Source organism: Homo sapiens, chromosome 14 (assembly GCF_000001405.40).
Source record: "Homo sapiens chromosome 14, GRCh38.p14 Primary Assembly".
NCBI classification, from domain to species: domain Eukaryota; kingdom Metazoa; phylum Chordata; class Mammalia; order Primates; family Hominidae; genus Homo; species Homo sapiens.
This window is the reverse complement of record NC_000014.9, coordinates 77,706,742-77,719,113: the sequence shown is the minus strand read 5'-3', so window position 1 is coordinate 77,719,113 and position 12,372 is coordinate 77,706,742. Positions and strand designations below refer to the sequence as shown.

At 43.1% G+C, this 12,372-nt stretch overlaps 3 protein-coding genes across 9 annotated transcripts in view, besides 1 other annotated feature; 2 read left to right on the top strand and 1 right to left on the bottom strand.

The window, feature by feature from the left end:
* The window catches only part of SNW1 (SNW domain containing 1), a 43,558-nt gene extending 42,043 nt beyond the window's left edge, over positions 1 to 1,515 (top strand). Inside the window, exons 13-14 of one of the 3 annotated variants that reach the window (NM_012245.3) lie at positions 584 to 747; positions 828 to 1,515. In NM_012245.3, coding sequence (NP_036377.1) covers positions 584 to 747; positions 828 to 1,026 — 363 coding nt within the window. In that variant the 3' untranslated portion in view covers positions 1,027 to 1,515. Of the gene's footprint in view, positions 1 to 583 lie in introns of all 3 variants that reach the window. The other 2 variants (NM_001318844.2, XM_047431112.1) reach the window with 2 other exon arrangements.
* SLIRP (SRA stem-loop interacting RNA binding protein) lies at positions 1,516 to 11,043 on the bottom strand. 4 transcript variants are annotated; one of them, NR_052025.2, is made up of 5 exons: positions 10,906 to 11,011; positions 8,449 to 8,559; positions 8,218 to 8,276; positions 3,235 to 3,342; positions 1,516 to 1,618 (listed from the first exon to the last, which is right to left on the bottom strand). NR_052025.2 is itself a non-coding variant. In NM_001267864.1 (4 exons), the coding sequence occupies exons 1-4, from the start codon at positions 11,000 to 11,002 to the stop codon at positions 1,620 to 1,622; spliced, it is 279 nt and encodes a 92-aa protein (NP_001254793.1). In that variant the 5' UTR covers positions 11,003 to 11,043; the 3' UTR covers positions 1,516 to 1,619. The 4 variants fall into 4 exon arrangements, 3 of the variants coding, with proteins under 3 accessions (NP_001254793.1, NP_001254792.1, NP_112487.1); NM_001267864.1 differs by lacking the exon at positions 8,449 to 8,559 and having other exon boundaries at positions 1,516 to 1,634; positions 10,906 to 11,043; NM_001267863.1 differs by lacking the exon at positions 8,449 to 8,559 and having other exon boundaries at positions 1,516 to 1,612; positions 10,906 to 11,043.
* The window catches only part of ALKBH1 (alkB homolog 1, histone H2A dioxygenase), a 35,620-nt gene continuing 34,338 nt past the window's right edge, over positions 11,091 to 12,372 (top strand). For both annotated transcript variants that reach the window (NM_006020.3, XM_047431848.1), the window contains exon 1: positions 11,091 to 11,292. In NM_006020.3, the coding sequence (NP_006011.2) occupies positions 11,110 to 11,292 (183 nt within the window). In that variant the 5' untranslated portion in view covers positions 11,091 to 11,109. The remainder of the gene's footprint in view (positions 11,293 to 12,372) is intronic.
* Positions 11,128 to 11,457: an enhancer, noted in NCBI's record as "active region_8810". NCBI's record gives its function as "activates an Ori minimal core promoter by ATAC-STARR-seq in GM12878 lymphoblastoid cells {active_cell/tissue: GM12878}" and the evidence as "EXISTENCE:reporter gene assay evidence [ECO:0000049][PMID:35858748]".

Below are 12,372 nucleotides of genomic sequence, written 5' to 3'. Positions count from 1 at the left end.
TGGGCAATATGGCAAAACCCTGTCTACAAAAAATTAGCTGGACATGGTGGCACACACCTGTACTCCCAGCTACTTGGGAGGCTGAGGTGGGAGGAACACCTGAGCACAGGGAGGTCACAGCTCCAGTGAGCTATGTAGCACTTTGTGAGACCAAGGCAGGCGATCACCTGAGGTCAGGGGTTCAGGACCAGCCTGGCCAACATGGTGAAACTCTGTCTCTACTAAAAATACAAAAATTAGCTGGGTGTGGTGGCACATGCCTGTAATCCCAGCTACCTGGGAGGCGGAGGCAGGAGGATCACTGGAACTGGGAGGCGGTGGCTGCAGTGAGCCAAGATCACACCACTGCACTCCAGCCTGGGTGACAGAGTGAGACTCTGTCTGAAAAAAAAAAAAAAAAGAATCCAAAGTTGTTATGAAGTTCATGTGCTACCAGTTTTTTAATGAAGACTTTTTAATTTGCAGTTCAGATTGTTGAAAATGTGAGCTGTACATTAGCAAGGGTTTACTGTAAACATGTTATGATTCAGCTTTTGATAAACAATGTTTACACTTTTATTTAATGTCATCCATTTTTCCACAGGGTATGGACAGTGGATTTGCAGGTGGAGAAGATGAAATTTATAATGTTTATGATCAAGCCTGGAGAGGTGGTAAAGATATGGCCCAGAGTATTTATAGGCCCAGTAAAAATCTGGACAAGGACATGTATGGTGATGACCTAGAAGCCAGAATAAAGACCAACAGGTGCCAAGCCATACAACTCAATTTCAGTGTTTACACTGGTGAAAGCAAAGTAGTTCATAGTTTTTTCTCCTTTTCCTTAGATTTGTTCCCGACAAGGAGTTTTCTGGTTCAGACCGTAGACAGAGAGGCCGAGAAGGACCAGTGCAGTTTGAGGAAGATCCTTTTGGTTTGGACAAGTTTTTGGAAGAAGCCAAACAGCATGGTGGCTCTAAAAGACCCTCAGATAGCAGCCGCCCCAAGGAACACGAGCATGAAGGCAAGAAGAGGAGGAAGGAATAGGCACAGGTCTCTCCAAAGTGAATGAACTCTTACCCATAACCCTAATGATGCAAGTCATATGGGGGAACACTTTGTAAATGGTCAGGATAAAAACCAAATCTGGGTGCCAGATCCCAGCACTACTTTTTATTACTGGAGAAATGGGGGGGATAGAAAATTCTACTTTGAATTATTTAGTTTTTTTTAAAGAGTGGGTTGTGTTTGTGCTTCTCCCACCTTTCAGCATTTATAGAACATGCTGCCCCACATACAAAGTCAAGACCACTTACTTTTATGTGACACTAGTAGTTTGGGGTTAATGTTTTGTGTAAGAACAGCTGCATATGAGTAAAGTTACCCCAACCACAGTGAGGAGGAAGATGTTCACATACTGGAACTGTCCTGCCAAATAAATTTTGCCCCTATTGTGCTCTGTTTTAATTTGGAGTGGGCAAAGTAACCTCTTGCTTGGTGCAACTATTTGTTTCAAATAAAAACATTTAGACAAAATTCTCAGTTATGTTAACTTTATTAATAGGCTGCAGTCTCAAAAATCTTTCTTTTCATCATCAGATGTTTGCGGAAGTTTTGGCCTTCTAGTGTGAACCTGGACCTTAAAAAAATAAGCACTGTAAGGGAGGAAAGGCAATGTCTGCAAAAACATTCAAACTGAAAATCACTTTATTAGGGAGTCAGTATGAATAATGAATAACCCAGGCAGTTTTTATTTGTCCCTTGTTCTTTCGTTTTCTCCTCAAATTCCTTTTACCATCTTTGTTGGTATTATGACTCCCTAACCCTCAATTAAAAATTGTAAATCAGACCAGGGGCAGTGGCTCAGGCCTGTAATGCCAGCATTTTGGCAAGCTGAGGCAAGAGGATTGCTTGAGGCCAGGAGTTCAACACCACCCTGCAACATAGCAAGGCCCTGTCTCATTAAAACTAAAATTTAAAATAAAATAGTAAATCAGTTTGGCCCAGGATCACATGGTGGGTAAGCCAAGATTTCAGCCCCAGCTTGCCTGACCTGAAAAGCAGACTGCTGGCCAGGCGCTGTGGCTCACGCCTGTAATCCCAGCACTTTGGGAGGCCGAGGTGGGCGGATTGCCTGAGGTCAGGAGTTTGAGACCAGCCTGACCAACATGATGAAACCCAATCTCTACTAAAAATACAAAAAAAATTAGCAGTGCGTGGTGGCGCATGCCTGTAATCCCAGCTACTCGGGAGGTTGAGGCAGGAGAATCGCTTGAACCCAGGAGGCGGAGGTTGCAGTGATCCAAGATTGCACCATTGCACTCTAGCCTGGGCAACAAGAGCAAGACTCTCAAAAAGAAAAAAGAAAAGTAGACTGTTATGTCCACTGTGTTACATATCTTGCTACCCATTAAAGGGTCATCTTGTACTTTCCTGGACCTTTTAAAACTGGGCACTCTACCACCCCCCATTTTTTTTTTTTTTTTTTTTTTGAGATGGAGTTTTGCTCTTGTTGCCCAGGCTGGAGTGCAATGGCGCGATTTTAGTTCACTGCAACCTCTGTCTCTTGGGTTCTCCTGCCTCAGTCTCCTGAGTAGCTGGGACTACAGGCATGTGCCACCACGCCCATCTAATTTTTTTTGTATTTTTAGTAGAGATGGGGTTTCTCCATGTTGGTCAGGCTGGTCTCAAACTCCTGACCTCTGGTGATCCCCCCCGCCTCGGCCTCCCAAAGTGCTGGGATTATAGGCATGAACCACTGCGCCTGGCCTACCACCGCACCATTCTTTTTTTGTTGTTGTTTTGTTTGTTTGTTTGTTTGAGATGGAGTCTCGCTATCGCCCAGGCTGGAGTGCAGTGGCGCAATCTCGGCTCACTGCAGGCTCCACCCCCTGGGGTTCACGCCATTCTCCTGCCTCAGCCTCCCGAGTAGCTGGGACTACAGGCGCCCGCCACCTTGCCAGGCTAATTTTTTGTATTTTTAGTAGAGACGGGGTTTCACCGTGTTAGCCAGGATGGTCTCGATCTCCTGACCTTGTGATCCGCCCGCCTCGGCCTCCCAAAGTGCTGGGATTACAGGCGTGAGCCACCGTGCCCAGCCTCCACCCCACCATTCTTAACAAGCATTAAGGCAGCTTCAGTTACAAATCTCTCCAAGTCCCCATCATTCCACATTTATGATCTATTTAATTGATACATAATTAAATAGTACCTACATGTATATCATGTATGTATCTGGCATAGAAATAAATTTACCTTTACTCCATCTATAATATGATTTTCCTGTTGTAGTGCATTCCGAAGTCCTTCTTCTGAAGAAAACTGAACCCAACCCAAACCTCTGTGAAAGCCAGTCTCCTTGTCCTAAAAATTCAAAATATAGGAAAAGATTAATCATGAACTTCAGAAAGTTTCCATGAGTTCCAAATCAAACTACCAACTTTTTCATCTGCCAAAAATCGGACTTTTTAATTTAATTTTATTTTATTTTTAGGCAGGGTCTTGCTCTGTCACCCAGGCTGGGGTGCAGTGGTATGAACGCAACTCACTGCAGCCTCAACTTCCTGGGTTCAAGCAATCCTCCCACCTCAGCCTCTTCAGTAGCTGGGATCACAGGTACATACCACCATGTCTGCCTCATTTTTTATATTTTTTGCAGAGATGGGGTCTTCCCATCTTACCCAGGCCGGTCTCAAACTCCTGGGCTCAAGCAATCTTCCCATCTGGGCCTCCCAAAGTAGTGAAATTACAGGCATAAGCCACCATGCCCAGCCAAAAATCGGATCACAGACATTTATAAGTGTCAGTAACCTTGCTTTACACCCTTCCTGATTACCCAAGGCTAAATCCCTGTGTTGTTAAGCTTCCTGTTTTCCTTGCTGCCATTAGAGAAGATACGGGTCATGAGCTTTCTGTGTCATTCTAGATGCAAACCATACTAACAGTAATAGCTAAGGGAAATTTTGATCAGTACTCTTGTTCTAAGCTTCGTTTCTAGAAACTAGAAAATTAAGCCTCAAAGCCTTGTTGCACTCATTTCTGAATCCAGTCACCCTCACCACCACCACGACTATCATCACGTGTTCCTAATGAAAAACAAGAAAAGATAATATTTAGCCCTTACTCAACCTAGTTACAGACTTCTGGTTAATTTAAACAATTTTGCTATTTTCCCTTGTGCAAAAGTTTCAACCTATACATCGCATACGGAAAACAGATTCTAGAGTGCTTGGATGTACCCTGCCCCTCCAGCCCTTCGACAGAAAACAGATATTAAGATGTCTAGTCCCTGTAGATGACAAACTGGTCCTCATTAGTCTCATTCAAGTCATGCTGTGCTTTGCCAAAAAAAACAAAATCTTACAATTGCTCCTCTACTTCAAGGATAACTTTATAAGGATTAACCTAGAAGACGGAAAGTTTCTGGTGATGTCCCAATGATCCATTCATTGTAGATACAACAATTTCTAAAGCATTCCTTTATTGTCATGTGACCACTTCCACAGTCAAAGGCATTAAGAAATTTGTTTATATTAAAACATAGGCCAGGTGCAGTGGCTCAATCCCAGCACTTTGGGAGGCTGAGGTGGATGGATGGCTTGAGGTCAGGAGTTTGGGACCAGCCTGGCCAACATAGTGAAACTCCATCTCTACTAAAAATACAAAAATTAGCTGGGTGTGGTGGCCCATGCCTGTAGTCCCAGCTATCTGGGTGACTGAGGAAGGGGGATCACTTGAACCCAGGAGGCAGCGATTGCAGTGAGCTGAGATCACGCCTCTGCACTCCAGCCTGGGCGACAGAGCAAGGCTGTCTCAAAAAAAATAACTCAGTCCAGGTGTGGTGGCTCATGCCTGTAATCACAGCACTTTGGGAGCTGAGGTGAGTAGACTGCTTGAGTGCGGGAGCTCGAGACCAGCCTGGGCAATATGGTGAAGCCCCATTTCTACAAAGAGTACAAAAAATTAGTCAGGTGTGGTGGCACACGACTAATCCCAGCTACTCAGGAGGCAGAGGCAGAAGGATCCCTTGAACCCAGGAGTTCAAGCCTGCAGTGAACTTGATTGTGCCACTGCACTCCAGCCTGAGTGAGAGAGAGAACCTGTCTCAAAAAAGGAACCAGGATTTCCAACTAGAGTACAATGAATGGAACAAAAAAATATTTTTTTTGTCATATTTTATTTTGTTTTACCAACATCAAAGCCGCCTTTTATTTAAATCTAAGATCTATTCTTTGCAGGTCCTATTTTATTTATGGACCAATAAAAATCTATTCATTTTTTTGCAAGGAACTTTTTATTTAAATGCTCTTGAAAAAATTGAAGTTTTCAAACTTACAGAAAATATTTCATGTCCATAATACATGTGCCCAACTTTTCTATTCAACTATATAAAATTCCATTGCATCAGTGACTTAATATCTAATCAATCCCAGTGATGAACATTTAAGTTTCTTCTTCTTACTTGACATTAAATAATGCTGCTTTGGAATATTCTTGACCACACATTTCTGTAGGATAAATTCTTAGAAAAGTAACCGCTAGATCAAAGCAAATATAAATTCTTAACTTTGGTATTTTGCCAACTACACAACAGAACTGAAGGTACCAGTTGAACTTCTCAACAACTTGAGTGCCAGATTCCCTACACCTTCACCGGCACTATATATAACTAATCTGTTAGTCTTTGGGAGTCAAGTAACATTAAACCAAGAATTAAGAATTTAAGTTCCTTTATGTTGTTATTTTACCACAGCCCTTACAGTGCTGCAAGGAAAAAAGGGTTTCAGTGAAGTGTGTGTGAACTCTATGTACTCACATCACACCCTAAAAAAGCCCACAGAAAAATACAGCCCAGGATAAATTTATAGGCTGATTTCTAAACCCTCACAAGAAAGCAAAGGAAATGTAATTAATATAAAAATATTGTTTTATTAGTTATAAATCTAAAAAAGAAAATGGTACTCAATGAAGATAAAACTTAAAATATCCTCTGCCAATTATTAGAAATCTCAAGTCCTTATTAGAATACTGTAGTAGGCAGAATTCTAAGATGGGCCCCATGATCTCCATGCATTCCCCATGTTACACCCTATATAATCTCCTCCCCTCCTTGGGTGGAGGAGAAACCTGACTTGCTTCTAACCAAAAGAATACAGCGAAAGTAATGGGATGTCACTCCTGTGATTATGTTCTGTATAAGATGCCATCTTAAGCAGACTGGAGAAGCCCTTGCTGGCTTTAAAGAAGCAAGCTGCCATATTGTAAGACAGCCTACAGATAAACTAGGTAACAAGGAACTGCAGGGAGTTCCTAGGTGAGAGCAGCTCCCAACTCAGAGCCAAAGGTCAACAAGAAAACAGACCTCAGTCCTACAGTTAAAGATGAATTATGGCCGGGCATGAAGGCTCACACCTGTAATCCCAGCATTTTGGGAAGCCCAGGCGGGCGGGTCACTTGAGGTCAGGAGTTCGAGACCAGCCTGGCCAACATAGCGAAACTCCATCTCTACTAAAAATACAAAAAATTAGCCGGGCGTAGTGGCGGGCGCCTGTAGTCCCAGCTACTCAGGAGGCTGAGGCAGGAGAATGGCGTGAACCCAGGAGGCAGAGCTTGTGGTGAGCCGAGATCGCGCCACTGCACTCCAGCCTAGGCCACAGAGTGAGACTCCGTCTCAAAAAAAAAAAAAAAAAAAAAATTAGCCGGTCGTGGTGGCGCATGCCTGTAGTCCCAGCTACTCAGGAGGCTGAGGCAGGAGAATGGCTTGAACCCAGGAGGCAGAGGTTGCAGTAAGCTGAGACTGCACCACTGCAACTCCAGCTTAGGCAAGGGAGAAAGACTCCATCTCAAAAAAAAAAAAAAAGGAATTTTGCCAACCACATGAGGGAGCTTGCAAGTCAGTCTTTTTCCCCAGTTGACCCTTTGATGAGACACACCACAGCCCCAGCTGACACCTGGAATATATAGCTATGTGAGATCCTAAGGAGAGGACCCAGCTAAACTGTGCTCAGCTGTGAGAGATGTGTTGTTTTTGAGCCATTACGCTTGTGGTATTTTGTTATACAACAATAAAAAAACTAACACAAATACCTATGATAAAGCTTTTTCACTTTTTAATCAAGTATCACTCAAAATGTAATCAATAAAGACTGTAGGCCGGGCACAGTGGCTCACGCCTGTAATCCCAGCACTTTGGGAGGCCAATGCAGGAGGATTGCTTGAAGCCAGGAGTTCAAGATCAGCCTGGGCAACATGGCAAGACCCCCATCTCCACAAAAATAAGCCAGCACAGTGGCTCACACCTGTAATCTCAACATTTTGGGAGGCCGAGGTGTGCGGATAGCTTGAGCCCAGGAGTTCGACGAGACCAGCATAAGCAACATGGCGAAACCCCATCTCTACAAAAAATACAAAAATTACCCAGGTGTGGTGGTGCATGCCTGTAGTCCCAGCTACTCAGGAGGCTGAGGTGGGAGGATCACCTAAGCCTGGGAGGCAGAGGTTGCAGTGAGCCATGACTGCATCACTGCACTCCACCTGGGGTGACAGAACAAGACCCTGTCTCTTAAAGAAAATGAAAATTAAAAAAATTTTCCAGTCTGGACAGTATGGCGAAACCCTGTCTCCACTAAAAAATACCAAAAAAGTTAGCTGGGCATGGTGGCACATGTCTATAGTCCCAGCTACTCAGGAGGCCAAGGCAGGAAGATCACTTAAGCCTGGGAGGCAGAGGCTGCAGTGAGATCAGGCCACTGCACCCCTGCAGGGGGACAGAGCGAGACCCTGTTGCAAGATAAGAATTTTTTAAAACACTTTAAGCTTTTTTTTCAACAATTTTTGTGAGTGTATAGTAGGTGTATATATTTATTTGGGTATATATTTATATATATTTATATATTATTAGGTGTATATATTTATATATTTATATATATAAATATGTATATTTATTATGGAGTACATGAGATGTTTTGATATAGGCATGCAATGTAAATTAAGCACATCATGGAGCATGGGGTATCTATCCCCTCAAGCATTTATCCTTTGACTTATGGGGTATCCATCCCCTCAGGCATTTATCCTTTGAGTTACAAATAATCCAATTACACTCTGAGTTATTTTAAAATGTACAATTATTATTGACCATAGTCACCCTGTTGTACTATCAAATAGGTCTTATTCATTCTATTTTTTTTGTACCCATTAGCCATCCCCACCTCCCACCTACTTTTCCTTAATACTTACAAAAGGTAAAATGCACCTTCTGACATGGCCGAACTGTGCAAAGTGTTCTTTCAGCTGACCTGTGTGGCAGAAGAAAACATTAAAAGTAGTTACTATATTTTGGATTCTCTATCTTAGACTGTAGAAAGACAGGGTCACCAGATTTCTTGTGGACAGGAACTACTTTGCATTTCCTTAAAGGCTTAAGATTTAGGAAGCAGCTATGGTACTGACTATAAAGCCATAATGTACCAGACTTGGTGGTGAGATGGACAGAGAAGTTGTTGAGTTGGCTGCAGTCTCCATCCTCAGCAAATATCGAGTGTTTTCATACCAGTTACTGTGCTATGTGGACTATGATCCCTGTGAGCAGATCACAATGAAGAAAAAGACAAATTACAATCCAGTGTGTTTCCCGGTATACTGAAGATTTCCAAATAAAATCCCAACTTACTGGTCTTTCACAATTTAGTAAAATGTGTTGAGTTGCCCTCACCTACCCTTCCTGCCTTATTTCCCACTGCTAGCCCCTAGTTACTCTCTAGTACAACTAATTGAATTATCTTTATCTGTCCTGCGGGTTACCCTCTTTGCATATGTTGTTCTCTCCCCTCCATATGTTGGTAATCCTATCTCCCCCTGGCTAACTTGTAACACTATAACTATCCTTCAAGACCCAAACCAAGTACATCCACTGAGTATTACTTTATTGGGCTCCTATCACAGTACAAGACAATGTACCAGCCCTGTGAGACTTCAAAGATTTAGAGTATATAATCTTAAAGACTAAAAACTACACGATCTGTTTCTCTTCTGAACTACAGTGCTTGTACTTCACTGATTTACTTTTTATAATATCTATTTAGTTCTCCTAGTTCACCAAAACCTCACTGGTTCAACAATTGCCTATATTTGTTCTAAGTCTCTTCATCCCCACCACTAATTGTAAGCTCCCTCAGCATATAAACCACTATGTTTACAGTGACCAATAAACAGCAGGGCCTCAATATTGGCTAAATGAATAAGTAAAAGTCCACTAATCCTTCCAACAATCCACAGAGACTAAATTTTGAAGGGCTCTAATGGTTAAGTCAAACCAACTGGCAAGATCAAGGTCTCACAGAATATGATACTGGAGAACAAAATAATGTTAAACATATGTTTTATACCAGATAATTAAAGTCCTAGAAGACACTGATTTCAAAACAAACCAGCTCTGGAAGGTAACCCTCTTCCTAAATTGCCTAAAATGGTGAAGGAAAAACAGCTGCAAGCACCAAGAACAATGCCTACCACAGAATAGATACTCAAATAAATATTTGCTGAATCAATGGAACAACAAAGAGAAACTGTTTCGAAGCTGTACATAATGCTGACTCTTTTTAAGGGTTTTAAACTAGCCCTTTATTGTCTGGAAACTTGCATCCGCAAGATGCTAATGAAACTCCTCAGCCTTTCCATAAAGTTTCACAGGGACTACGGGAGACTTTACTGGGCTTGGTCTTCACCAACCACATGTTTAAAACACGGGGCACAAACCAACCTATTTCCCATTCTACTACTCACATCTGAGCCACTAAAAACTTAGAAGAAACTAAATCTTGCTCCATTTTGTTTCCAGGGGTTGACCTGAAACATGAATATCTACAAAAAGAGTGACCACGAATGTTTACATGTTGGTAAGCAAATATAAAAACCTCATCTCAAAACTGCAGCTGACAAAAATTGAAGGTGGTGAAAGATTTCAGAACTAATTATTCCAACCTTTATCTGTAGACTAGGCCTCTCCCGTAAGTTTCAATTTTAGTTACCGTGAAAATAACTATCATTTGCTGAGTACTTACACTGTATCTAACACAAGTCTAAGAAGTTTGCATATAAACTCAATCCTCTCAACAATCCTATGAGTTGGGTATTATTGACTCCATTTTATCGATGAGTAAACTGAGGCCCAGTTGTGAGCCCTTTTCCCATACTAACTTCAGTTATTCAAGTGATAACAACGATTAAATGGCCAAGTTGGAATTCTAACCCCAACGGTCTAGCTTCGGAGTCCACTTCTCAGCCACAATGATATACAACCTTTGTCCAATTGCCTGACGGAAACCTCACAAGTTTCTCAAAGTCAACACATTCAAACTTTACTCATCTTCTCTTGGCCTGCTCCTAACTTCTAAACAAACAATTCACCAATGCTAAAAACCCAGAAATCATTTCTCCCTTTCCTTTATTCCGTACACTTCTCCCACTTAAGCCATCACGAAACGGCATCTAATTTGCTTTTAAAACATTAATGCATCTGACCACCATCCTTCTACCATCGCCCTAATTCAGGTCCTCACGTTTTAAGTAAATTAATGAAATTGCCTTTTAGCTCCTCTGCACGCCTACAATCTTGCCACCTTGAATCCATCCTCCACACTACAGTCAAAATTATCCCTTCTAAATTGTAAATCTTGGTTACCAAGTAATAAATCTTTACACCAAATCACTCCTAAAGGCAAGAGCCGGTGCATTCGTGACCCCAAAAGCTCAAGGGACATCCCTAAACGGTTAACTGCAAACAAAATTTCTTTCTGCTCACTTGCATGCTCAGGAGCAGTCTCCTAATTCAGCCACCACGCTGACTTAAGTACCCTGCAAAAAGCAGAAGCTTTGAGGATCACTTGGACCTAAAAATTCCACTACTCCCACATCTCCATCACTCACTCGACGCCGCAGTCCAAGGAATTCTTCTCACAAAAGCAACCGGCTGATTGATACTTCTACGCAGCGCCGCAGCACCTCTCGCTGCTGAGGCCGCCATCTTCAGACTAAAGCACCTTCTCGAGCCGAGGTCGCGGCCCCGGAAAAAATTTCCGGATCCGGAACACGAGAGAATCTGCTTCCGGATCAGAGGGTATAGGCCGCGAGATGGGGAAGATGGCAGCGGCCGTGGGCTCTGTGGCGACTCTGGCGACTGAGCCCGGGGAGGACGCCTTTCGGAAACTTTTCCGCTTCTACCGTCAGAGCCGGCCCGGGACCGCAGACCTGGAAGGGGTCATCGACTTCTCGGCGGCCCACGCAGCCCGTGGCAAGGGTCCTGGTGCCCAAAAGGTACAGAGAGAGGAGTGGCGCGCGTCTCTCCATCGCTTTGCCCCGCGTCTTGGAGGGACTTACGTGTCTTCTTCGCCTCTTTTCACCTCCAGACCGATTGTTATTGAACGATTCCTGACCTCCTTTGGCTGCAGAGTCGAACTCCCCACTAACCGTCACACTTAGCAATAAAGCGTTGAGATGCCTGTTTCTTTAGGCGGCCATTCCTGGCGGGGGCGCTCAGTCAAAAGAGCCTGGGAATCCGTGTTTATTTCTTACTGTAACTGTCTCCTCACATTTCTGTTTGGGTTTTTGTAAAACCCCATAGAACGTCTTTGTAGACGGTAGGGTAGACTTCTGCAGCTTAAAAAAAACCACTCCCGAGGAATCCCAGAACTGACAGGGATGCGGCGCTGTTTGTTAAGCCACTGTGCGTAAAACTAGTCCCTGTCTTCTCCTCTGGCTCTTTTAGAAGGAGGTCATTGAAGGATTCTGAGAATCCCTCCGTGTTGAAAATAAATGGCAAACAAGTATATATGGAATACAGGCACCGTTCTCTCTCTCAGCTTTTCCCCATGGAGATTAAGAAGGGGAACACAGTCCGGGAGCGGTGGCTCAAGCCTGTAATCCCGCACTTCGGAGGCCGAGGCGGGTGGATCGCTTGAACCCAGGGGTTCGAGACCAGCCTGGGGCATGGCAAGACCCCCGTTTCCGCCAAAAATACAAAAAATTAGCCAGTCTCATAACCTGTTCTCAAGTAAATAGATTTTTTAAAAATTATTTTTTTAAGGGAACATAACAGGCAAGAGGGAAAACGGGGAACCAAAACTGTAGTCCAATTTATATTTTCTTTCTTTACAATCCACTTTAACGTTGAGGATATGCAGTCCCTTAATTTGCTCTTGGTGTTGTCCACAGATGTCTAGATGAGGCATTCTTTCCAAGCTTCCTAACAGCTCTGATAAAATTGGGATGCTACAGTATTAAGTGTTAATGATTGCATACTTGAGCTCAGCTTTTCAGCACCTTCATTTGTTAGGGAAAAAAAGTGGTCTTAGAGTTGTCAAAATACAGAAAGTCCACACCCCAATAATAATATAC

Excerpts from the sequence above, each read along its gene's own strand:
- SLIRP (NM_031210.6), bottom strand. The coding sequence starts at position 11,002 with ATGGCGGCCTCAGCAGCGAGAGGTGCTGCGGCGCTGCGTAGAAGTATC. Across the intron at positions 8,277-10,905 it reads TCCTTGGACTGCGGCGTCGA|GTCAGCTGAAAGAACACTTT; the intron begins GTGAGTGATGGA and ends TCTGCCACACAG. Across the intron at positions 1,619-3,234 it reads ATATTATAGATGGAGTAAAG|GTCCAGGTTCACACTAGAAG; the intron begins GTAAATTTATTT and ends TATTTTTTTAAG.